Source organism: Homo sapiens, chromosome 14, assembly GCF_000001405.40.
Source record: "Homo sapiens chromosome 14, GRCh38.p14 Primary Assembly".
NCBI lineage: Eukaryota > Metazoa > Chordata > Mammalia > Primates > Hominidae > Homo > Homo sapiens.
In genome coordinates, this window is record NC_000014.9 from 70,602,894 (window position 1) to 70,630,888 (window position 27,995).

At 38.6% G+C, this 27,995-nt stretch overlaps 1 long non-coding RNA gene and 1 pseudogene across 1 annotated transcript in view, besides 1 other annotated feature; one reads left to right on the forward strand and one right to left on the reverse strand.

Moving 5' to 3' along the window:
* Nucleotides 1-5,904: 5,904 nt before the first annotated feature.
* TTC9-DT (TTC9 divergent transcript) overlaps nucleotides 5,905-27,995 on the reverse strand; it is a 32,501-nt gene continuing 10,410 nt past the window's right edge. Inside the window, exon 3 of the long non-coding RNA NR_110071.1 lies at nucleotides 5,905-8,457. This is a non-coding gene — a long non-coding RNA (TTC9 divergent transcript). The remainder of the gene's footprint in view (nucleotides 8,458-27,995) is intronic.
* Nucleotides 7,193-7,486, forward strand: RN7SL77P (RNA, 7SL, cytoplasmic 77, pseudogene; annotated as a pseudogene).
* Nucleotides 19,329-19,448: an enhancer, noted in NCBI's record as "active region_8655". NCBI's record gives its function as "activates an Ori minimal core promoter by ATAC-STARR-seq in GM12878 lymphoblastoid cells {active_cell/tissue: GM12878}" and the evidence as "EXISTENCE:reporter gene assay evidence [ECO:0000049][PMID:35858748]".

Sequence of the window (27,995 nt, forward strand, 5' to 3'; positions counted from 1 at the left end):
GCTTTTCACCAAACTTATTATCTACTTGGGTATACAGCTAAGCTATATTTTCCACCACCCTTGCACCTGGATGGAGCTACATAGCCAGTTCTCATCAAGGGACTGTGAATGGAAGTGATAAGTGTTACCTCCAGGCCAAGACAGTGAAAAACACTGGTTCCATCTTCACTTTCTCTCTCTGTATTCACCAGCTAGATGCCAGAGAAACCTAAGGTCATGGATTGAAAGTGGTGGTGATGGGGAGTTGGGGGGCTGGGGTCTCTGAATGACTGACCACAGGTGCTGAGCCACCTTGCTGACCTAAACTGGATCCAAAGCAAGAAATAAGATTTTATTATGTTAAAAATACACACATGCACACAAAATTGCTATGTACTGTCTCCTCCATAAAATCAGTAATACTGGTGTAATCTATTTTCTGTAGGATATATTAAAATGTGTACCTGCCTCCACTATATACAGTATGACCTTTTGAGGCTTTAGGATTTGGAAACTTAGATAATTTAATATGTGAGAATGCAAGTAAAAGAGAAAAAACAAGATCTTCAGTATGGAAGTGGGAATGATTTCTGATTGGTTAAAGATGAAATGATGCTCATGGATAATTGATAATGTGTGGTACTCATCTTCCTCCATAAGATCACCATCTAGAAAAACAGCTTTCCTTCACACACGCTCCCTTTAAATACCTGACACCATGATCCTCGTTACTACGTTTTTCTTTCTCTAACATTCTCTCCAATATTCTAAATTTACACGTCATGTCATCCCACTCTGTACCTATAGAAATGTGTGCCCTTCCTTATAGGAATACCTCTATAATTGCCTGGCCTGAATTCAGACTCTTTTCTAAAAAAAAATTCTCTAGACTGTAAACTCTGTGAGGACATGGTCATGTCTGTGTTTGCCTGGTGTTACTTACTTAGTCTCTGGCAGGGTGTTTTTGATATAGTAGCTGTTCAACAAATATTTGTTGAATGAACAAATTCATGTATAAATGAATGGATGATATGATGGCCCTCAGATAAATAATAAACTTCATTAATTCAATAATAAATGAAATATGAAATTGTTAATGGAAATTGATTTATGGGAAGTTATAAGAAAATTCTTAAAATCTCTCCTGATGTTAGAATGATGCCAAACGCACAACTTTATTTATACTAATATTCTAAATAAAAACAACATGGTTATATTTTGTTTGGTGTCCTATCAGGAAAGTATTTTAGCAAATGACAAATGTGTGGGGTGTTTTTCCTTCTTATTTAGTGAAGAAAAGTCCAGCTACTTCATTATACAAAGCAGAAAATTGCCTTAGAAATACTGAGGAATTATCTCTGAAAAGTTACCTTGGAAACTCTGAGATTGGCCCCAGTGGTCTAGGGAGAGGTATGGTACCAATTTTTTTGTGATTTAAGGGTTACAAGAAAAGCTACACAACCCCTTAAGGCAAATGCCAAAACCTGACCTGTGGCAGTAATTCTGAAAGCAGCTGTTCACCTTAGGAAGTGGCTGTAATCATAAACAAAAAAAATCTAATCATAAAGCTTTAACCCTAGAATCCTAAACATAGAGTACAAATAAGCTTAGTCCAAACAGAATTATCTTCCCTCAAAGAACCTTTGTGGATTTTCCTCTCATTGCAGGATAGTTGTCAAGGGCCCATGAGATTACACAGCACTAACTTTAAGCAAGACTCCATCAAGGCATCAAAAAGCAATAACAAAGGCAAACTAGATAATCATATTCCAGTATGGCATTAGAAAATATTTAATAACCCCCACATTTTTTGGGGTGAGTATGCCCCTGAGATGCTTGGTTAATTCTGGAGGAGAGCAAAGAGAAGCATCCCAAGGAAGATCCTTGACTGCCAACTCAATACAGCAGGTAGGGGCTCAAAGTCAAATTGCTGTATCTGAAGTAACAATCCCAGCAAACCCCAAAAGGGAGGTGGCTGTGGCAGTATCTTGGAAATCTGCTGGTAGTTCTTGCTTTACTCTTAAGGATCTGTGGATAGAGGATTAGACAGTTTCCTGAAGAAAAATGCAGGGAAGAAAGTAGTAATTCTGGGACCTTATCAGTAATAAAGTAGCTCAATGTATTCTCGTATTGTCCTTTTAATCTGGGCTATGTCTAAACCCACATCTCCCTTTTTAATTATATTTCCTTCTTCTTTTTTTCATGATGAATGTCACCAAAGATTTATCCAATTTGATTGTATTTTTAAAGAATGAACTTTTATCTTGATTAATTCATTCTATTGTATTTTTTGTTTCACTTATTTCTGTTCATTTTTTTGTTCATATTTTTATTCTAATTCCTTTTTATTCTGTTGTTCTTTTTCTAATTTACTGAGATGAACATTAATCAATTAATCTTCAGCTTCTATTCTTTTTTTTTTTTTTTTTTTTTTTTTTGAGACGGAGTCTCCCTCTGTTACCCAGGCTGGAGTGCAGTGCAGTGGTGCAATCTTGGCTCACTGCAAGCTCCGCCTCCGGGGTTCAAGCAATTCTGCTACCTCAGCCTCCCAGGTAGCTGGATTACAGGCACCCACCACCGTGCCTGGCCATTTTTTTTGTATTTTTAGTAGAAATGGGGTTTCACCATGTTGGCCAGGCTGGTTTCGAACTCCTGACCTCAAGTGATCTGCCCCCACTTTGGCCTTCCAAAGTGCTAGAATTACAGGCATGAGCCACCATTCCCAGCCTTCTATTCATTTCTTAAGTAAGCATGTAAGGCTATAAATTTTCCCCCAAAGAAACACCTTCATTGTATACCTTAAGTCTTGATGTATAGTATTTCTTTTATCATTTAGTTCTAAGTGTTTTTTAAGTTTTGATTTGATTTTTTCTTTGATTTGTGGGTTATTTTTTTAATTTCCAGGTATATGGAATTTTAAAATTTATCTTTTTGTTAACTTTTTTTTTGAGACAGAGTCTCGCTCCATTGCAATTCTCCTGCCTCAGCCTCCCCAGTAGCTGGGACTAAAGGCGTGCACCACCACACCCAGCTAATTTTTTGTATTTTTAGTAGAGACAGGAATTCACCATGTTGGCCAGGCTGGTCACGAACTCCTGGCCTCAGGTGATCCACCTGCCTCAGCCTCCCAAAGTGCTGGGATTACAGGCATGAGCCACCATGCCCGGCCTGTTATTAACTTCTAACTCAATTGCGTTGTCCTCAAGGAACATGTTCTACATAATACCTATTCTTTAATTTTTATTTGGTTTTGCTTCATGCCTTATATGATCATGTGTGCTTAAGAAAGCAATGCATTCTCTAAGTGCTGGATACAGAATCTGGCAGTGTTAGACACCCCAACTTCTCAATACTGTCTTTTCTTGGTCTCCATGGCACTACCCTCCACTAGTATTTCTGCCACCTCTCAGACTATTCCTTTCCTATTCCTTACACTGGCTTCTCTTCCTCTGTTTTACCTATAAGACCTCTAATCCTCAGACCCACCCCTCATCTTTCCTATCTTTCTGCTTTTCACTCTCCTCTCTGGATGATTTAATTCACACTGTGGCTGCAGTTTTCGTCTATGTTATCATGGCTCACAAAACAGCCTAATCTAGACCTCTCTCCTGAGTCCCAGGAACATATTTGTAACTGCATACTGGATAGCTCCAACTTGCTGTTCTGTTTCAAAGTACAAGAGATTCACTCTTACCTGTATTCTTGGTCTTACTAAGAAACCTTGCCACTCCCTCTTCCTTACCTCCCACACTAATCTAGTGCCAAGTCTTGTCCATTCTTCTCAGGCTCCTCTCTTGAATCGGGCTTCTCCTCTGCATCTCCACTGCTATTCTTTCCATCCCAGTGCCCATTCTGTCTTGCCTGAACATTGTTGCCAGGGTAATTTTTCCATAAATAGTGTTTTCTTGCTCTAAAAGCTTTACCGACTCTATTTTCAGCCCACAACATGAAATGTAAATGGGCCCCAACCTACTTTTCAGCATTATCTCTCAACCCCAAATCACCACTGCACACACTGAACCCCTGCAACACTGAGCTTCTCACAGATCCCCAGACTGTCTGAGATGTTTATATCTCTAGGTCTTTGGACATGGTTCTACCTGGAAACTTGGAATGCTATTGTGTCTCTATCCTCCCTCACACCCTTAACCCAGCACACAGGAGAGCAAATGTGTATGCACACACGCATACACACAAACATAAATTTATCTGGAAAATTCTACTCATGTGCAAGCAAGATTAGGCTATGTAAAAAAAAAAAAAAAAAAACTGGCCGGGTGCGGTGGCTCACACCTGTAATCCCAGCACTTTGGGAGGCCGAGGCGGGTGGATCACGAGGTCAGGAGATGGAGACCATCCTGGCTAACACAGTGAAACCCCGTCTCTACTAAAAATACCAAAAAAATTAGCCGGGCGTGGTGGCGGGCGCCTGTAGTCCCAGCTACTCGGGAGGCTGAGGCAGGAGAATGGCATGAACCCAGGAGGCGGAGCTTGCAGGGAGCCGAGATCGTGCCACTGCACTCCAGCCTGGGCGACAGAGCAAGACTCTGTCTCAAAAAAAAAAAAAAAAAAAAAAAAAAAAAAAAAAAAAAAAAAAAAAACTTAAAAAAAAGTTTGTTATTCTGTAGATGCTGACAATTGATGATTAATGAAATTTTAGTTGGAGACAAATAGGTGGGTAGGGAGAAGGCAGGAAACAGGAAATAACATGTCAGCAAATAGTCCCCTTCTCTTCATCAATTCTGTGTTGACTCGATAGGAAATTTTCTTAAGCCACCATAAAATATCATGTTCAATTCCACTTCTTCTCAGACACCTAGCTGCCCAGGCATTTGGCTAATTGGATAACTGTATATGGATGACTCTATATCCCAACTCACCTTCATGTTACTTTCCCCTGGGTTTGGTCACCTGGTAACCCTGATCCCAGGCTTGTCTTCCTAGTAATTATGTTGTTTGTATTCTCTTATAATTATCTCCTGTTGCGTTTTCCTGAAGTTTACATTTATTTCTAAACCTACAATATGTGGACGTAAAGAAATATTTTATTTTCATAGGCTCATGTATAGTGTATATTTATATGAGAACATTTACAAGATATTTATTAATAGGAAGAAAATTTCTGGGTTTTTATTCCATTTCCTGCCAGAAGAAAGTGACCCTTCCCCCACCAGTGTCTGTCCCTGTGGCTGTGGCTTTATGTGATTTCCATACATAAAGTGAGCTAATTCTTTACATTTCTGTGGGTGGTCAAGAGTAAGATTCAATGTCATTTCACAGATCAGGGTTAAAAGAAGATTTTAGGCCGGGACAGTGGCTCATGCCTATAATCCCAACACTTTAGGAAGCCAAGGCAGGCGGATCACCTGAGGTCAAGAGTTCAAGACCAGCCTGGCCAATATGGTGAAACCCTGTCTGTACTAAAAAAATACAAAAATTAGCCGGGCATGGTGGTGCATGCCTGTAATCCCAGTTACTCAGGAGGCTGAGGCAGGAGAGCTGTTTGAATCCAGAAGGCGGACGTTGCAGTGAGCTGAGATCGTGCCACTGCACTCCAGCCTGGGTGAAAGAGGAAGACTCTGTCTCAAAAACCAAAAAATAAAAATAAAAATAAAAAATATAAGAAGATTTTAAATATTCACTATCAGCCAAATAAACCTTAGCAGCAGGGAAAAAAAGGTTGAAAATAATAGATTTTATAATACAGTGTCTTTTCTTTTCTCCAGTTTGTGCTATAAGTTATCTTCAAGTTATAAGCAAATGAAGAGTACCAATGTATATAATTTTTGGATATACAGTAAACCCATGTAAACAATGTAAAACCATATTGTGTATGTGTTAACATTCAGGGCTTTAAAAAAATCCTATGTACAAACCTGAAAATATTTGTCTGATTCATGGACAAATCACTCAAACAAACAATTTGCAGTCTTCATTTATTTATGCATTCAGCTCTCAGTTGTGGGTGGGTACAGAATGGCCATATAATCCAATATTGTAATACAAAGTGAAAAGTGATGTAATAGATGTTATCAGTTTACAGAATATCAGTCAGTTCTAAAGCCCCCACGGAGGTGTGGAATAATGGGAAAGGCTTCTATTCTTAACATGCTTAAGTTTGTATTTTAGATAAATAAGACATACAGGTATACGTATATACACTCAAAGATAAAACAAGTAATTCATAATTTTTGTTGCAAATCTATTACTCCCCTTACCAGAAAACTATATTTACACATAAGAATTTGTCAGATCTCAAAAACAAGATTGGAAATCATAGTGATCATTGTATATTTTAATATAGAATGAAAATAAATTTGACTTTGAGGTATAGTTGAAATGGAAATAAATCAGATGTGAAATTAGATTGAATAAGTTCAAAGTGGTAATGAAAATAAGCCTTGTATGTACAAATTCAATAAAAGTATTTGTCTCCCTACAGGCATAGCAAACATAGGTGGAAAGATTTTACAAAGGTATTATGGGGACAAGAGTTACTTTATTTTAAAAGCGAATCTGCCATGCAATTTCTAATTAACCAGGAGGTGGGGAATGCCTCCAAAATGGCTAGCTGATGTATTACTCCTTATGTAGAAACATCTACTTATTGAAGGTTTCCTCCAAAACAACGCTTGTTATCACAGAAATCACGGGCTGTGATGCCCAAAACTGGCTACACATTCCTTCCAGAGCATGTATGCTTTCTTCTCAAGATATAAGCCCTGGGTCTGGGGGCTTGAGGTACGGAGATCTACCTATCTTGCGTATGCCCAAAACCACACTTGTGCCTGTAAATTCCCCATAATAAATTACCCAAAACCAACAAAGTGGATTTGTTTACCTCCTTCTTTGGTTTTTCATCTCCTTTGGCATTTAGGAGTTGCTTTGCCCTTTCATGGAACAGGTAGAATCTTTAAATTATTTGGTGATGTTCATATTGCTTATTATTAAAGCAAAGCACTAGAAATACCTGACCAGACTCTCAGAATTCCCAAAATACAAAAGCTGGAGCCCAGATTAATAGTTCTTGATAGAGTTATACTTACAAGGGTCACGGCCACATGGCAGTTCAATATAACTTGTTCAAACCACACTCCATGAGATGCAGCTGTGGTAAATATTAAGGAATAAATGAACTAGAGTGGGTAATGCAGTTACCTTGGTTATTCAATTCACCCAAGCTAATATAATTCTAGGTATAAAAGCCGTTTTAATTGGGTGTAGTGGTGCATGCTAGTAGTCTCAGTTACTTGGGAGACTGAGGGGAGGATTGCTTGAGTCCAGGAGTTCTAGGCTGTAGTGCCTGAAGCCCACTGGATGTCTGCACTAAGTCTGGCATCAATATGGTGACCCCCTGTGAGCAGGGGACAATCAGGTTGCCTGAGGAGGAGTGAACTGGCCCAGGTTGGAAACCTCTGTCAAAACTCCCATGCTGATCAGTCGTGGGACGGTGCCTGTGAATAGCCACTGCACCCCAGCCCGGGCAACATAATGAGACCCTGTCTCAAAAATAAATAAATTAATTAAATTAAGTTTCTTAAAGTCAGTTAAGCCAAAATATAACTGGGTTGAGAAAATGTCAGCAAAACTAGAATAATAGTTAATGTTTACATGTTAAGTACTTCTGATATGCCAGGCACAGTCCTAAGTGCTTTAGAAATATTGTCACATTTAATCCTCCCAATAACCTGATGTGGTAGTTACTGTTAAATCTCCAACTTACATATAAGAAAACAGAAGCTTAAGGAAGTTAAACAAGTCACTCAATCTTACAAATGTGATCAATGGAGGAGCACAAGTGTCCAGAATCCTTACTCTTTCCCATTTTCCTGTTCTGCCTCTAACATATTGAACACAGCAACTGAAATTTGAACTAGGTATTGAAAGTTGAGTATGATTTTCCTGGTAGAGGAAAGGGAAAGGGTGCTTTTCTCTGGCTGGAGGAGAGCAGGGAGCTGGTAAAGAGTCACAGAAGTGGGAGGGATTTTCTTCCAAGAGGAGCAAATACACGGTGCCTTGTGCATACAATGTGATGGTGCTGGAAGATGAGACTGGAAGGGACACTTGGGTCTAGTTTGTTAGGGCTCCTCTGCATTTAGGAATTTTGACTTGATCCTGAAGGCACTGGCTAGTCAATGAAGGCTTGCATTTGGAGAATGAGAACTCAGATGTCAGTGTGGAGGGTGGATTGGATGTATATTAAGAATAGTTCCTAATAATCCAGACGAGAGGTGATGGTGAACTAAACTAAGGCAGGAACTATCAAAGTAATAAAGATACAGACCTTGGAGGGGTAAAAGAAGAAATATTCTCCCCACCTTCCCCAGGCACACAGGTACAAGCACTTCAGTGGGCTGCTGGGTACGTGCAAAAGTGGTAAGTGGTCAGCAAAAGAATGCTGTCCTGAGTTTTTCCACATCAGTGATTTTTCTTGCTGTGAGTTCTTTACCAATCCAGATGGGGCATCATCACTTGTGACTTCGGAGGAAAGAGTAATTGTAAAATTCATTAAGTTTCTGAATGAAGATGTGTAATATCTTCCAAGAAAATAATTAAACCACCATGGGGCAAAGACTCTCATCTGTATAATTTAAAGTTATAAAGTGGGTCATTGCTTAGTGTCTCAAATCTCGTTTACATGTAGCTAATTCATAATCATACTCCATCTGGCTAAAATTAGTCACATTATTCTGTGAGCCAAGAAAAATATTTGTCTCATTTTAGAGGTTTTATTATACAATCAAACGTAGTCTAATGTACATCTGAATTCTTTGTTCTCCTTTTCTTGAAATATTTGAATCTCACTAAAATGAAAAGATAAAGTAGAATATATGGTATATTCAATAAAAGTTCTCAGCTGGGTGTGGTGACTCATGCCTGTGATCCCAGCACTGTGGGAAACCGAGGTGGGCAGATAGCTTGAGCCCAGGAGTTGGAGACCAGCCTGGGCAACGTGGCAAAACCCCATCTCCACAAATATATATATATATACGTGTGTGTGTGTGTGTATATATGTGTGTGTGTATATATATATACACATATATATGTATATATGTGTGTGTGTGTATATATATACACATATATATGTATATATGTGTATGTGTATATATACACACATATATATGTATATATATGTATATGTGTATATGTGTGTGTGTATATATAGTGTATATATATGTGTGTGTGTGTGTGTGTGTGTGTGTGTGTGTGCGTGTATATATATATATGAGAAAATTAGCTGGGCATGGTGGCACGCACCTGTAGCCCTAGCTACTCCAGAGTCTGGTGGGAGGATCACCTGAGCCTGGGGAAGTCAAGGCTGCAGTGAGCTGTGATTGCGCCACTGCACTCCAGCTTGTGTGACAAAGTAACACACTGTCTCAAAGTAATAATAATAATAATAGTTAAAGTTCTCATTTCAAAGAGCATGGAGACCATAATAGAAGAGGGTTAAAATCCCGGGAGGCGGAGCTTGCAGTGAGCCAAGATCGCGCCACTGCACTCCAGCCTGGGCAGCAGAGCGAGACTCCATCTCAAAAAAAAAAAAGAAGAGGGTTAAAATGAAATATTCTTATTCCTACTTAAAAGACAGGGAAACCAAACAGATGTGTGCCAAGCTACCATGTGTTGAGGTGACCAAATAAGACAACAAGCCAAACTGAAAATAACAATCAATTCATTTGTTGTGACAGTGCAGGCAAGAGTCAAAAGAGAAAGGCATTGGCTCCCTAGTGTTTTTTCCCAATAGAACAGTGCCAGGCAATAGTCAAATGGAAGCACAGGTAAGGAAAATCATTTCATTACCAAGGAGCCCCAAACAAAAGATTCCTGCTTTTTATGGACTTATAGGGCCATGGAAAGAAAGTGGGAGAAGGACTAGGAGTGAAAAGGTCTGGAGTCAAAGTGGATAAAACTGTCTCAGCCAAGGCCCACAATAACAAGGTCTCAGCAAAGGTGCCTGGGAAGTGTCTCAAGAGAGGCCCCAGTCAAGAGGCTTCTGAATGGAGGTGCCTGAGCTGGGAATGCAGTTATGCATACTAGCATTGCAGCTCAAAGGGGCCTAGGTCCTCAACTGCAACTCCCTCCAGAAAACTACAAGGCACTGGTGGTACAACAAGTCAGATGTGGGGAGAGCAGCTTCTCCTATGAGGCCTGCCATGCATCACCTTGTAATTGCCTGTGGAGGGCCTGAAAGATCACACATGGGACTGAGTCCTGGACCCACACTCCAAGAATATCCATATCTGATAATAAATGGAGGTGGATTCAGGTGTCCTGCATGCCAATCTGCCAAAAGCCATACATTGTGAATAAAAAGCATAAGGGAATGCTTTGGCTTAATGTCAGGCAATTTCTAGGGGCACTGGCTATTTTGATTTTATATATCTGGGAAGCAAAGACCAAACATCAGACCCAGGGCTTGGGTACAGAAAAGAGAAACTGAAATTTTCTTTTTCATTTCCTAACTCTGCTGATTCCCTACCCGTCAGACTTTGAAAAGAAAAATAAAGGAAAAAAGAATGGGGCTCTGAAAATATTTGACCTTCCTCAGTCCTGTCAGCATTCACTGTGTCAGTCTTCACCACAGGAAAAGTAGGCAGCAGCACATACTGTGTAATTTCAGAGTGCTGGCAAGAGTCTCCACCGTCTGCCTTGGAGGCAACTCATAGCTCAGATATCTCTTAAACCTGTCCCCAATTTTCTTTTCTTTTCTTTTTTCTTTTTTTGAGACGGAGTCTCGCTCTGTTTCCCAGGCTAGAGTGCAATGGCCCGATCTCGGCTCACTGCAAGCTCCACCTCCCAGGTTCACGCCATTCTCCTGACTCAGCCTCCCGAGTAGCTGGGACTACAAGCACCCACCACCACACTCAGCTAATTTTTTGTATTTTTAGTAGAGCGGGGTTTCACTGTGTTAGCCAGGATGATCTTGATCTCCTGACCTCGTGATCCGCCCGCCTCAGCCTCCCAAAGTGCTGGGATTACAGGCGTGAGCCACCACGCCTGGCCGTGTCCCCAGTTTTCATTCTTACTACCTCTCACTTAGGTTATTGTAATAGACTCCTGATTACTATCCCTGCTTCTGGTTTATTTCTCCCACCAGAATATCTGTCAAGCAATAAGAGATATAGAACTGGAACTTCTTTAGAAGTTAGTTGTGTAGAGGTGGTAATTGAAACCCATTAGGAAGGAACAAGCTCTCCTAGACAGGGGTGTAGCCTTAGAAACAAACAAACAACTTTTCCTTTTTTTTTTTTTTTCTGAGATAGTGTCTCACTTTGTCACCTAGGTTACAGTACAGTGGCACAATCATGGCTCACAGCAGCCACAACCTCCCAGGCTCAAGCAATCCTCCCACTTCAGCCTCCTGAGTAGCTGGGACTACAGGCATGCACCATCATTCCAGGCTAACTTTAAAAAAAAAACTGTAGAGATGGATTCTCACTATGTTGCCAGGCTGGTCTCAAACTCCTGGACTCAAGGAATTCTCCTACCTTGGCCTTCCAAAGTGCTGGGATTACAGGCTTGAGCCACTGCTCCTGCCAAAAATTTCCCTACCAGTGAATGAGGGGCATACCCATTTGTTTATTTGTTCGAAAATTAATCATTGTGAATATTTATTATTATACAATTACTATACTCTAGGCATTAAAATATTCTACCTAGAAAATAATGAGGGCAACGAGGTGGGGTTTTCAGCAATGGTTTCACATACAAGATGACATTTGAGAGAGAACAAGAAAGGAGAAAGGAAGAGGAAAAGAAATATGTGAGCATAAAGCATCCCGACATATTCAAAGTTTTGCAAGCATTTCCCTATGTTTGGATACTGGGGGTATCTTAATCCATTTTGTGCGGCTTCAACAGAATATCAATAATAGTGGAGGACTTCAACATCCTACTGACAGCACTAGACAGATCACTGAGGCTGAAAATCAATGAAGAAACTCTGGATTTCAACTGGACTCTAGACCAAATGGACCTAATAGACATCTAAAGAACATCCTATCCAACAACCATAGAATTTGCGTTCTTCTCATCTCTACACAGAATATTTTCCCAAATTGACTATATGTTTGGCTACAAAGCAAGTATCAATAAATTAAAAAAAAACTAAATCATATCAAGTATCTTCTTAGATCATAGTGGAATAAAATTAGAAATCAATAGCAAGAGGAACTTTCAAAACTACACAAACTTGGAAGCTAAACCACTTGCTCCTGAATGACTTTTGGGTAAACAATTAAACTGAGGCAGAAATTTTAAAAAATCTTCAAAAGAAATAAAAATAAAGATACAATATACCAAAACCTCTGGGATAGAGGAAAAGCAGTGTTAAGTGGAAAGTTTATAGCATTTAATGTTTACATCAAAAGATAGAAAGATCTCAAATTAATAACCTAATGTCACACCTCAAGGAAGTAGAAAAACAAGAACAATTCAAAGCTAGTGGAAGAAAACAAAGATGAGAAAGGAACTAAATGAGATCAAGACCAATAATATGACACAAAAGATAAACAAAACAAAAAGCTAGTGTTTTGAAACGATAAGCAAAATTGATAGACTTCTAGTTAAACAAGAAAAAACAAGAGAAGATTCAAATAAATGCAACCAAAAATGTGAAAAGTGGTATTACAACTGATATCGCAGAGATAAAAAAGATCCTCGTAGAGTACTATGAACACCTTTATGTACACAAACTAGAAAACCTAGAGGAAATTGATACATTCCTGGAAACATACAACCCTCCAAGATTGAACCAGGAAGAAATAGAAACCCTGAACAGACCAATAATGAGTAATGACATTGAATCAGTAATTTTAAATTCTAACAAAAAATCTCCATCCAGGACCAGATGGATTCACAGCCGAATTCAACAAGATATAGAATTAACCTAAATGTCCAATAACAAATGAATGGATAAAGAAAATGTGAAGGCCGGGCGCAGTGGCTAACACCTGTAATCCCAGCACTTTGGGAGGCTGAGGCGGGTGGATCACAAGGTCAGGAGTTCAAGACCAGCCTGGCCAACATGGTGAAACCCCGTCTCTGCTAAAAATACAAAAAAGAAAAAAAAAAAATTAGCCGGGCGTGGTGGTGGGTGCTTGTAATCCCAGCTACTCGGGAGGCTGTGGCAGAGAATGGCTTGAACCCATGAGGCGGAGGTTGCAGTGAGCCAAGATGGTGCCACTGCACTCCAGCCTGGGTGACAGAGCAAGAATCCATCTCAAAAACAAAAAAAAAAAAAAAAAGAAAAAGAAAAAGACAATGCGGTATATAGACACAATGGAATATTATTCAGCCATAAAAAAGCATGAAATCTTGTCATCTGTGATGACATAGATGAACCTGGAGGACATCATGTTAAGTGAAATAAGCCAGACACAGAAAGAGAAATATTGCATGGTTCATATGTGAAATCTAAAAAAAAAAAAAAAAAAAAAAAATTGGTATCATAGAAACAGCAGAACAGTGGTTACCACATACTGGGGAGAGAAATGAGGAAGGGAGGATAAGAGAGGTTGGTCAATAGGTATAAAGTTACGATTAGATAGGAGGAATAAATTCTAGTCATCTACTGCACAGTAGGGTGAATATGGTTAAAAGTAAAATATCGTATATTATAAAATAGCTAGAAGAGAGGCTTCTGAATGATCTCACCACAAAGAAATGATAAATATATAAGGTGATGGATACATTAACTACTCTAATTGGATCATTCTATAACATAAATAGGTATTGAAACATCAAAATAAACCTCATAAAAGTGTACAATAACAATATATCGATTAAAACAATAAATTTAAATTTTTTAATAAAATAAAAGGTATGTGTGTATGTGTGTGTTTGTGTGTGAATAAAAGCTCAAAGGCCAGGATTTTTGTCTGATATTGGGAATATGGTGCAACACATACTGTGACACATTCAGTAAATAGTTCTTGGTGATTCAATGCAAAATAGTGGGTCAAATGTCATTTCTAAGTTTTCTCATGAGAATCTCAGTGACTTTGTAGGTTCTTGAATCTGTATAAAATGAAAACTTTTGACATCTCAAGCTGTTGTTATAACCCAAGACTCATGCATCACGCACTTGGCTCACTCCCTCTTGTCTATAGGTTACATGCACCGGAGCATGTGATGGGATGATAATTCCCAATGATGAACTTGCAGGGAATGCAGGTCAAGAGAGAACTTCAGAATCTTTCCATTTCTGATTACATGTTAACATTACTAAGTGTGGCTTATTTAACCTTAAAAGCCCTGCAATATAAAAGGATATTTTTGTGTTATTATTTATTCATTCATTCACAAAATAGTTATGATATAACCTCAAAAAATATTTATAATGTGCCAATCACTGTGCTGGGTGATGGAGAAATAGCAGTGACCAAGATAGACATAGTCTCAACATTTCAGTCTAGCGAGGGATACAGACAAAAACACTGATAAACCGTATTGTAATCAGAGCTATGAGGGAGGAAGCAGAGTAGTCTGAGAGCATGAGGAGAGGGTACTAAACACATACGGGAGAAAAGGGAAGGCTTCCTAGAGGAAGGGATGTTTAAGCAGAAACAATGAAAGACTAGTAGAAGTTAGCCAAATGAAAAGGAGAGGTAAGAAAATGCAAGCAGAGGGAAGAGCATGAACCAAAGCCAAGAGGCAAGAGAGAAGAAGAAAATGGAAAATGTTCGGAATAGCTGGAACATCGAATATATGAGAAGACTGGATGAGAGTAGATTGTCGCAGAAATCAGAAGTAAGATCATTGTAAACTATGCCAAGGAATTGAGAGCAGTGGGACACTAAAGAAAGATTTTAAGGAGGCAAGTGACAAGGAGGCAAGATTTCAATTTAGAAATGTGTTATCATAATCTAAGCCTGAAAAGATGATGACCTATGCTAAGTAAGTAACAGTAACAGTAAAAAGAAATGAACTAAAATGATAGATATTTAGGAGGTAGAATGGATAGGAATTGGCAAAAAACATGGGGTGAGGAGGAAAAGAATTCAAAATATCTAGCTTGGCAATTGGGTGATTTACTGAGATACAAAACAGTTGAAAGAGCAATTTGGAAAAGAGGGTAGAATAGTTGCATTTAGTTTTAGGTGTGTTGTGTTTGAAGTGCCAGTGGATCCTCCAAGTGAAGATGTCAACTGGACAAATATAACTAAGAAAAATCCATGAATCCCATATATAAACTTAGGAGTCCTAGCAGCCACTGAGGAGATAGTGGAACACTGTGGTGGTTGAGTCAATAATATGAAAGGAAATCGGCTGTATAGACATTTTTTATTGTCTTGCTGTGGGCTTGAGTTAAAATACTTTTCTGATATCCTAGCCTTTCTTGCTAAATGAAGACTTCCCAAAACCTGGTGTTTATTACGAAGCAAGTCCTATCTGCCAAGCTCTTCTAGATGCTTTTCATTCCACGCAGCTCACTATATCACTGAGTCCTCACTGTAATCGCTACACTGGGCTATATTTGAAAAAAGTGACTTAGAGAGAGTGGTAATGAAGGTTACCTTGTTTTTAAGAAACAACAGCAGCTGGCTTTTTAAGTGTTTGAACTAGGGTAATGCCCAAACCTCTCTTTTCTTTGCAGCTGCCACAGACACATAAATAGTCCCATGAACTCCCTTCTCTAATGCTAATTCATCACTGCAAAAAAATTAGGCATTCTTGCAGGGAAGAAGAGCCCAGCCCAGACTAGCATGGTGGCAAGCCCTTGCCTAAACGTAAGTTAGGTTGACCACAAAACTTCAGTGGGATTCCTTCAACACCACCTCCTCTACATCCCCCTGCCCCTACTTCCATTTTTAGGGAACACTACAGTGTTTTTCTAGTTTGGCAGTAAATCTCTCTATGTCTCAGTTTTGACTAGATAGTAACCACTGATGTTAGGCTGATATTAAACTAAATAGAGACAATATTCTCTCATGTAAGCCTAACAACAATGCTTTGAGAGGATACTGGAGCTTAGAGAGGTTAAATAGTGTTCCCAAGGTCACAGAGCCGATACTCTAACAACAATGTTATCTTGGCTCCTTTTTTTTTAATCTTTTACTTGTGTCAGTGACAATACTTACCTCAACAATAACTAACTTGTGTGAAGTATTTACTATGCCCTAGAAATTCAATGAAAACACTTGACAAGGATTTTAGCATTTAATCCTCCCAACAGTTTTATTGTATTGTATTGTATTGTATTGTATTGTATTGTATTGTACTGTATTGTATTGTATTGTATTGTATTGTATTGTATTGTATTGTATTGTATTTTTTGAAACAGGGTCTCACTTTGTCACCCAGGCTGGAGTGCAATGGCACAAACATGGATTACTGCAGCCTCAACCTCCCAGGCTCAACTCATCCTCCTGCATCAGCCCTCTTAAATAGCTGGGACTACAGGCACAAGCCACCATGCCTGGCTAATTTTTTTGCATTTTTTGTAGAGATGGGGATTCATCATGTTGCCCAGGCTGGCCTCAAACTCCTGAGCTCAAGCAATCTGCCAACCTTGGCCTCCCAAAGTGCTAGGATTACAGGCATGAGCCACTGCACCCGGCCAATTGTCCCCATTTTTAAGACAAGGAACCTCAAGCCTAGAGAAGTTGTCACCTGCTCAATGCACACAAGTGACAAGTGGTAGAACCAGGATTTGAATATGAAAAGTCTAACTTCAGAGACTTCACTGTACTTACCACACTTTGGCCTAGGTGACCTCTAAGGACCCTCTTCTCTTACTCACCCCCGGCCATCTATACAAAGATTCCGTGATGTGTTCCTGTACCAAGGTGGCTTATCACACTTCATTTCACATAAGATATACTGCTAAAATTATGGCTTTGAATTATATATTGACTTTATAATATTAGGATATTTAAGTTTAGAAACTTTATATTCAACTTGGTTTAACAAGTTCTTTGGCCTAATCATTGGAAGTAGCTGAGAAGGAAGGGGCAGGTGAACCATCACAGGTTGGCTCAGGACCAAAATGAGGCAGAAAGGTTTATTTTTCAACCCTAAAGGTACAGGAAAAGGGCTGAGTCACCCCACACTCCCTAGCTAGATTCTGGAAAAATCTAGCACCTTTCCATACAGCAGAAGCCTCCTTTGCCAATGGCAGCCTCTGCTTCACCAAGCAGTATTCTATTGGCTCTTCTTTTGGCTCACAGAAGCATAAGCCTGGCTAGATTTCCTTGTTAGTGCTCAGGAAGAATTCCAAACCCCAGATATATTGGGACAAAAAAAAAAGAAAAATATTTCACCTTTCTCTGGCTTTTTTTTTTAACTGAAAGAGGATTGGTAAAGGAAGTAACCATAATTTTTAAAAAAATATTTTAAATAAATCCTGAGCATGGTACTCCCCAAAGTCTCTAAGCTAATGGGTTAGACTAGAAAATGAACACTTGGCCTCTTTTTTTGTACTTTCCCTCTAACTGTCTGATAGGCCCCAATTCCCACAACAACTTTGAACTGCTCTTCAGCCCCACAATTCAGATCTAACAATTCTGATTCTGAATTTTTCTTTAGACCTTCCCTCTCTTTTTCCACATACTAAGTTGGCTCTGATAATGCTATAAAGTAGTAGCATTCCTACTTTGTAATAGGAATGGAAAGGAAATCTGGCCATATTCAGGAGCTCCATGATTATGAACCCATATTACAAAGTAGTAGCATTATCAGAGCCAACTTAGTATGTAGAAGAAGAGAGGGAATTCACTTTAAAACTTAAGTAACAGCCAACTTAAAACAATGCAGTCTCTTTACTTCTTAGCACAGAAAAGTACTTAATGAAGATAGAATGTATCTATCAACTAAGACGCAACTTAGTTGCTGGCAAATACAAAGTAAAGAAAGACTTGGGCCGGTCAGTGGCTCACGCCTGTAATCCCAGCACTTTGGGAGGCCTAGAGGGGCAGATCACGAGGTCAGGAGTTTGAGACCAGCCTGACCAACATGGTGAAACCCCCTGTCTCTACTAAAAATACAAAAATTAGCTGGGTGTGGTGGCACACACCTGTAATCCCAGCTACTCAGGAGGCTGAGGCAGGAGAATTGCTTGAACCCGGGAGGCAGAGGTTGCAGTGAGCCGAGATTGCACCACTGCACTCTAGCCTAGGCGACAGGGCAAGACTCCATCTCAAAAAAAAAAAAAAAAAAGACTCGAAGAAGAAAAACAAGAAAGAGGTAAAGAAAGAAGGGAAACTGTTAATAAATTCTGTCTGTGGTATAATATGTACTTTTATGGTTCTCTTAATATTATCCTTAAACAGCCTCTTTAATCCCCACCAGTGAGCCTAAACTTTTATTTACTAGAGGAGTTTAGAGAGCCCTGAGTTTCTGGTTTTGACAAGTCAGGTATTTTACATTCCTAGTGTAAGATTATCTGGTTCATGTAAGAGAGTTAAGAGGAAATGAAGCTGTATGTTCATCCTAGTTTTTTCTTTCTGTCCTACCCACCCTTGTGCCCAAATACCTTCCTCCTTGGCCCACACTCTAGTCCTGAGTTTACCAACAAAGTCTCAGCATCTCTACCTATGGGAGGGCTGGGGCAGAATGCAAGAACAGGGAATAAATAATGGATGATTAGCTTGGCTGGTGACAGACTGTTGGAGCACTAGCAGAATCTGCAGGAGTTCAGATGCAATTCTGCAGATCTGAAAACATCTTGGGTAAAAGAGAAGGGAAAGGAAATCTGGCCATATGCAGGAGCTCCATGATTATGAACGCATATTCCACAGTTTTCACAGGGCAACCAGAGCTATCCCACACAATTCAAACATGTGTGGTAGTCAAGAGAGTGATTTGAGGAACATGGAAATAGCCATCTGTTCAGAAAGAGGTCTCTATTGCTGGGTCTGAAATGCCCCTTTCACACATCAAACCTTGATGACATCCTAGTTTCAACATTAGGACACCAAAGGAACCACATTATACCATTCAGGTACTCAAATCCAAAGGGAATAGATGGAAAGACTTTAGCGGGAGGGAGTGTTGTCAGCAAGATGGTGGAATAGGAAGATACAGGCCCTCCTTTCCCCACAGGGACACTGAGTTAACAATATACAGGTCAGAATGAACTCTAGAGACAGGTTGAAAAGCTACAGCACCCAGGTCATTGTAAAACCAAGAAGAGATTCTGGCAAAATGGATAGACAATTTTGCAACATCTGGCATGCCCATCTGTGTCCTTTCCTCTACGTGGCATAAACCTGAGCAACTTTGGAGAAACCCCTTACTCCAAGGCTCCACCCTCAGGGATGGAAACAGAAGAATGAGCCATGCATTGAATGTTCTGGCTTATCTGGGGGCTGCCCAAGGGATTAGTTTCTGTCTCACCTAACAGAAATCAGTGCTGACAGGACCAGGTCAAGCATTTGGAAGCCACTAAAAACAGAGGTGAGTAGCAGGTTAGAGTCGCAGTTCCACAGGCAGACACCAGAAGGAGTAAGAGATCAGAAAAGGTTTGAGAGGTCCTAGATCCTCCAGCAGGGTTGATTGGTGAAGGTCTTTCCCTGTATGAAGCCAAAGACTAGGAAAGGTCTTCAAATGGCCAAGTTCTAGCAAAACATTTTAAGACATCCAAAGAAACAGAGAAATTTGGCACAAAGGATCAAATAAAACTCCAGAAATCAATTCTGAAGAAATATGATCTACTAGTTGCCTGAAAAGGAATTTAAAATAACTATCATAAAGATGCTACCAAAAGGATAACAAACACTATCATAAAGATGCTATCTAAAAGATAACAAACACTGGGCCGAGTGAACACTGATAGGCAACTAAATAAAATCAGGGAAATGATGCACGAACAAAATGAGAATATCAACAAGGAGATAGAAATTATAAAAAAAGAACCAAACAAATTCTGTAGCTGAAAAATATAATAACGGTACAAAAAATAGTAGAAGGATCCAACAGCAGACTTGATCAGGCAAAAGAAATAGTCAGCAAACTCAGAGACAGATCATGTAAAGTCACTGAGTCAGAGGAGCAAGAAGAAAAAAAATGAAGAAAAGTGAAGACAGCCCAAGGGATTTACAAAACACTATCAAGTAGCCTAATATATGTATTATTAAAATCTCAGAAAAAGAATGAGAGAAAGGGACAGAGAGCTTATATGAACAAATAATGGCTGAAAACTTCCTAAATCTGAGGAAAAAGAAGAACATACAGACTCAAGAGCTCAATTCAGAACCCTAACCAGAATAAATCCAAAAAGAATCACACCAAAACACATTGTAATCAAACTCTAAAGTCAAAGACAAAGAGAGTAACTTGAAAGCATGAGAAACGCAATTTGTCACATAAAAGGAAACTTCCATAAGATTATCAGTAGATTTCTCAGCAGAAACTACAGGTTAGAAGGGAGTGGCATGATATATTCAAAGTGATGAAAGGAAAAAAATAGTCAACCAAGAATACTGTATCTGGCAAACTGTTCTTCCAAAATTACGAAGAAATTAAGACTTTGAAATAAACAAAAGCTGAGGGAATTTATTACTACTAGACCTTCTCTATAAGAAATACTAAAGGGAGTCCTTCAAGTTGAAATGAAAGGACAGTAGAGAGCAACACAAAGCCATATGAAAATAGAAGGTTCTCTGGTAAGGGTAGTACATAGCCAAATATAGAAACCTATACTGTTATAATTTTTGTGCATAAAATATTAATGACAGAAATATTTTAAAAATAGATCTGTGTTAATGAGTATACAATGTATAAAGAAGTAGTGTATGACATCAGTAATATCTGGGGAGAGTAGAGCTGCAAAGGAGCAGAATTTTGTCTGCAATGAAGTTAAGCTGTTATCAATTTAAAGTAGAAGGCTATCATTTTGAGATGTCTTACATAACTAGAATAGTAACCACAAAAAGCTATAGAATATACACAAAAGAAAATGAGAAGTAAATCCAATCACATTGCTACCAAAAAAAAATGAAATATAAAGGAAGACAATAACAGAGGAAATGAGGAAGAAAAAAGCTATAGGACATACACAAAACAATGAACAAAATGGCAATAGTAAGTCCTTCCCTATAGGTAATTACTTTAACTGTAAATGGATTAAATTCCCCAATCAAGAAACAGAAATTGATTACATCAGTTTTTAAAAATAGGATCCAACTGTTTCCTTTCTACAGGAGACTCACTTTAGATCTAAGGACATGCAGAGATTGAGGGTGAAAGGATGAAAAAAGGTATTCTATGCAAATGATAATCAAAATAGAGCAACAGTGGCTATACTAATATCAGACCAAATAGACTTTAAATCAAAGACTGTTACAAGAGGCAAAGAAGGACATTATGTAATGATAAAATGGTCAATTCACTAAGAAGATATAACTGACAAATATTTATGTACCAAACATCAGAGCTCCTAAACATATGAAGCAAAACTTGGCAGAATTAAAAGGAGAAAGGTCACTTTCATAATGAATAGAACAACCAAATAACATCAATAATGAGTAGAACAACCAAATAACATCAATAACATCAGTAAGAGGACTCGAACAACACTATAGACCAATTGAACATAACAGATATAAGCAGAACACTCCATCCAACAACAGCAGAATATAAATTCTTCTTGCATGCACGTGGAACATTCTCCAGGAGAGACTACAAATTAGGCCACAGAACAAGTTTTAGCAAATTCAATAACATTGATATCACACAAAGAATGTTTTCAGCCAGGCATGGTGGCTCATACCTGTAATCCCAGTACTTTGGGAGGCCGAGGCAGGAGGATTGCTTGAGCCCAGGAGTTTAAAACCAGCCTGGGCAACATGGTGAAACCCTGTCTCTACCAAAAATACAAAACTTAGCTGGGTGTGGTGGTGCATGCCTATAGTCCCTATAGTATATGCCTATACTCAAGAGGCTAAGGCAGGAGGATCACTTGATCCTGGGAGGCAGAGGTTGCAGTGAGCTGAGATCTTGCCACTGCACTCCAGCCTGGGCGACAGAGCAAGACCCTGTCTCAAAAAAAAAAAAAAAAAAAAAAAAAAAGTCGTTCATATGGATAACTGTAAAAAAACCCACAAATGTACAAAATGTACAAATGTGTGGAAATTAAACAACACACTCTTAAACAACCAATGTGCCAAAAAATAAATCATAAGAGGAATTAGAAAATACCTTGAGAAAACTGCAAATGAAAACACAACATACAAAAACTTACAGGATGCAGTGAAAACAGTGCTAAGAGGGAAGTTGTATGGCAGACACATGTGACAGCAATAACTCAAGCATACCCTGAGAATGACCCTATGGTCTAGGAAGAATGTGTGTTCAGAGTTTCAAGCTAAGGAATTCAGGAGTGGCCAACCTGGAAATTCACTCCTTAACTATGAAGAACATCCAAACCCCTGGTCCATCCCTTCGAATGTAGGCTGTACAGGGGATCAAGGCCCTTTGTTTTGAGTTAAATGGATGTTACCAAGTGGAGGTTGTTAAGTGGAGGTTGCTAAATGAAAATGTGGTATAACATACATGATTTACATGGGAGTGTAATGAAAATGTGGTATAACATGCATGATACAAATGGGAGTGGTTTGCCTGTCCAGCTCACTGGTCCTGGACGACTGTGTGCATAAGTCCCCAATAAACCCTATGTCTTGTTCGCTGGCTCTGGTCTCTTCTTCAGCCTCTGTGAATCAATGTGAATCAATGGAATCAATATGGGTCCACCACAACAGAAGTTTATAGCTGTAAATGCGTACATTAAAAAAGAATAAAGATCTCAAATCAACAATCTAACTTTACACTCAGAAACTAGAAAAAGAAGAACTAAACCCAAAGCTATGAGAAGGAACAATAATATGATTAGAGCAGAGGTAAACAAAGTAAAGAATAGAAAAACAATAGGAAAAATCAATACAACTAAGAATGTGTATTTGAAAAGATCAACAAAATGGACAGGCCATTAGCTAGATATACTAAAAAAAAAAAAAAGAGAAGACTCACATAACAAAATTTTTTAAAGGGGGTACATTATAATCAATATGACAGAAATGAAAAGAATTATAAGATAATACTATGAACAATTTTCACCAACAAATTGGATAATCTAGGGAAACAGATAAATTCCTAGAAAGATACAACCTACCAAGACTGAATCAAATACTGAAGAAATAGATAATATGAAAGATCAATAACAAGATGTTGAATTCGTGATCAAAAACCTCTAAACAAAGAAATGTATAGGACCAGAGGGCTTCACTAGAGAATTCTATCAGACATTTAAAGAATTAACACCAATTCTTCTGAAATTCTTCTAAGAAATGGCAGATGGGGAATACTTCCAAGCTCATTCTATAAGGCTATGAGGCTAGCATTACCCCGAGACTAAAGCCAAAAAAAAAAAAAAAAAAGCCACCAGAAAAGAAAACTATAGACCAATATCCTGGAGGAATATTAATGCAAAAATCCTCGAGAGAATACTAGCAAACTGAATTCAGTCAGATGTTAAAAAAAATTACACACCATAGCCCAGTGGGATTTATTTCTGAAATGTAAGAATACTTCAACATATAAAAATCAACCCATGTAATACACCACTTAACAGAAGGAAAGGGGAAAAACACATGATCATCTCAATGCAGAAAAAGCATTTGACAAAATTCAACATACTTTCATGATTAAAAAAAAACTCAACAAACTAAGAATAGAAGGAAACTGCCTCAACAAAACAAAGGTCATTTATGAAAAGCTCACCGCTAAATCATACTCAGTGGTGAAATACTGAAAGCTTTTCCTCTTAGATGAGGAACAAGACAAGGATTTCTACTCTCTCCATTTCTATTCAACATAGATTGGCAATCCTAGCCAAAGCAATTAGGTAAGAAAAAGAAATAAAAGTTATCAAAATTAGAAAGGGAGAAGTAAAATTACCTCTGTTCACAGATGACATAATTTTATACATAGAAAGCCCTAAGGACTACACACACACACACACACAGAGAGAGAGAGAGAGAGAGACAGAGAGAGAGAGAGAGAGAGAGAAAATCTATTAGAACTAATCAATAAATTTAGCAACATTGCAGGATACAAAATTAACACACAAAAGTCAGTCGCATTTCTATACACTAACAACAAACAAATTCGAAAAGGAAATTAAGAAAACAATTCCATTTATAATAACATCAAAAACAAAAAAAATTAGGAATAAAATGAACTAAGAAGGTGAAAGACTTGTACACTAAAAACTATAAAACATTGCTGAAAAGAGTAAAGAAGATAGAAATAAATAGAAAGGCATTTCTTGTTCATGGTTGGAAGGCTTAATATTATTTAGATGTTCCTACTATCCAAAGCAATGTACAGTTTCAATGCAAAGGCTATCAAATCCTAATGGCATTTTTTGTAGAAATGGAAAAATCCATCCTAAAATTCATATGGAATTTCAAGAGACCTCAAATAACAACAACAAAAAAAAAATTGAAAAAGAACAAATTTGGAAAACTCAAACTTTCTGATTTCCAAACATATTATAAAGCAACAGTAATCAAAACAGTGTGCTATTGGCATAAAGACAGACAAAACAATGAAATAGAATATGGAGCCTAGAAATAAACTGTCATGTATACGGTCAAATGATCTTTGACAAGAATGACAAAACCACTCAATGGGGGAATGACAGTCTTCAACAAATGGTGATGGGAAAACTGGATATCCACATGCAAAAGAATGAAGTTGGAAACCTGTCTCACACTATATACAAAAATTAACTCAAAATAGATTAAAGATTTGAACATGAGATTTAAAACTATAAAACTCTTAGAAGAAAACATAGGGAAAAATCTCTTAACATTAGTCTTGGCAATGATTTCTGAAATATGACCCCCAAAGCACAGATAACTAAAGCAAAAATAGACAATTGGGATTACATCAAACTTAACTTTTGTGTATCAAAAGTCAGAATCAACATAGTGAAAAGGACATCTATAAAATGAGATAAAATATTTGCAAATCATTATCTAATTAGGGCTTAATAGCCAGAATATATAAAGAGCTCCTACAGCTCAACAACAAAAAATCAAATAACTCAACTAAAAATAGGCAAAGGACTTGGATAGATATTTCTCTAAAGATGATATAAAAATGACCAGCAAGCATATGAAAAGACGTTCAACATCACTGTTTATCTGAGAAATGCAAATCAAAACCACAGTGAGATATTACTGAGCACCCAGTAATATTTAGCTACTAGCCAAAAAACAAACAAAAAAAACCTTAGAAAATAATGAATGCTGATAAGGATGTGGCGAAATTGCAACACTTGTGCACTGTTGGTGGATTGTAAAATGGTGCAACTACTATGGTAAACAGTATGGATTTTCCTCACCAAATTAAAAATAAAGTTATCATATGATCCAACACTCCAGCTTCTGGGTATAAATCCAAAACAACTGAAAGCAAGGTCTTGAAGAGCTATTTGTACCCCCATGTTCACAACAGTACTATTTACAATAGCCAAAAGGGGAAAGCAATCCAAATATCCATCAACAGATGAACAGATAAGCAAAAGTATTACATACAATAAAATATTATTCAGGGCTGGGTGCAGTGGTTCATACCTGTAATCCCAGCACTTTGGGAGGCCAAGGTGGGTGGATCACAAGGTCAGGAGTTTGAGACCAACCTGGCCAACATGGTGAAACCCCATCTCTACTAAAAATACAAAAATTAGCTGGGCATGGAGGCACACGCCTGTAATCCCAGCTACTTGGGAGGCTGAGGCAGGAGAACCCAAGAGGCAAAGGTTGCAGTGAGCCGAGATGGCGCCACTGCACTCCATCTCGAAAGACAGAGTGAAACTCCATTTTGAAAAAAAACAAAAACAAACAAATAAAAAACTGCCTCGCCTTACACACTGAGGTAGTATTGTAAGGATCTAAATGAGGCTAAAATGCTTGATAAGCCACAAAGTACTAGATGAACTTATGTCATTATGAATGTGGCACTCATACTGGCCAGGCGCGGTGGCTCAAACCTGTAATCCCAGCACTTTGCGAGGCCGAGGCAGGCAGATCACAAGGTCAGGAGATGGAGACCATCCTGGCTAACAAAGTGAAACCCCATCTCTACTAAAAATACAAAAAAAAACTAGCCGGGCGTGGTGGCAGGTGCCTGTAGTCCCAGCTACTTGGGAGGCTGAGGCAGGAGAATGGTGGGAACCCGGGAGGCTGAGCTTGCAGTGAGCCGAGATCGTGCCACTGCACTCCAGCCTGGGTGACAGACTGAGACTCTGTCTCAAAAAAAAAAACAAAAAAAGCAAAAAAACAAAAAAAAAACCCAGAAAGAAAGAAAATCATTGAGGAGAAAGGATATCTGCCTGAACAGGTTTTTAACGCAGATAAAAGTGCCCTATTTAAAAATTAAATGCCACAAAGGACATTTATTAGTAAGGAAGGGAAGTGAGCACAATAATTTAAGGCAGGAAGGGATAGGCTAACTCTACTGTTTTATGGAGATGCAGATGGGTTTATAATCATGACTGCCCTTACCTATAAACCTGCTAACCCCTGAGCCTTGAAAGGAAAAGATAACACCAGCTGCCAATCTTTTGGCTGATAAGAAGGCCTGGATAATGAGAACCCTTTTTCTGGATTGGGTCCACTGATGCTTTGTCCCTGAAGTCAGAAAGCACCTTGCCAGTAATGGACTGCCTTTTAAGGTTCTTTTGATATTGGACATTGCCCCTGGCCACTCAGAACCCTATGAGTTCAACACTACAGGTGTTAAAGTGGCCTACTTGCCCACACACACAATGTTGCTAATTTCGCCTCTAGATAAGGGGGTCATAAGGACCTTTAAAGCTTATTAAATATGGTACTCTATGGAAAGGATTGTTAGTGCTGAGGAAGAAACCCCCAACAGAGAGAACATCATGAAAGTCTAGAAGAATTACACCATTGCAGATGTCATCAGTGTTACAGAAAACGCTGTGAAAGTTACCAAGCCTGGAACAATAAATTTCTGCTGGAGAAAATTGTGTCCAGATGCTGTGCATGACTTCAAGAGAATTACAGCAGAGCCAGTTGAGGAAATCATGAAAAGAGACTGTGGATATGGCAAAAAAAAAAAAAAAAAAAGTAGGGGATAAAGAGTTTCAAGATATGGATCTCAGAGAAATTCAACAGTGATTAAATACCAAACCAGAGGAATTAATAAAGATGACTTGATGGAGCTGAGTGCTTCCAAATCAGTGCTAGATGATGAGGAAGAAGACATAATAGAAGAAGCAGTGCCAGAAAGTTAATTGATATTAGAAAATCTGGGAGAAGGTTTCCAATTATTCAAGACTGTCTTTGACTTCTTTCACTACAGGGACCCTTCCATGATATAGGCACTGAAGCTAAAGCAAATGATTGAAGAAGCATTGGTGCCACAGGGAAACATTTTTAGAGAAACAGAAAAGCAAAAATGTCAGATAAAAATTATGATGTATTCCATAGAGTGACACCAAGTGTGTCTGCCTTTCTTACCTCCCTTCCATCTCCTCCACCACTTCTTCCTCTGCCACGCCTGAGACAGCAAGACCAACACCTCTTCTTCTTCTTCCTCCTCAGCTTACTCAGTATAAAGATTGTAAGGATGAAGGCCTTTATGATAATCCACTTCTAATTAATGAATAGTAAATAGATTTTCTCTTCCTTGCAATTTTCTTAATAACATTAGCTTTTCTGTAGCTTACTTTATTGTAAGAATACAGTATATAAAACATATAACACAAAATATGTGTTAATCAACTGTTTATGTGTTATCATAAAGCTTCTGGTCAACAGTAGGCTCTCAGTTAAGTTTTGGGGGAGTCAAAAACTGTTCGAGGATTTTTGACTGCACAGAGGTCGGCACACCTAACCACCCCCCCACCCAATCTTCAAGGGTCAACTTTACATCAGAAGTGATGATATATCACTTCCAAGACTCAGTTTTAAAAGATTATGGATCTCTTAGATCTCTTGTTCTGGGGGAAGCTGGGTACCATATTGTGAGGACACTCAGGG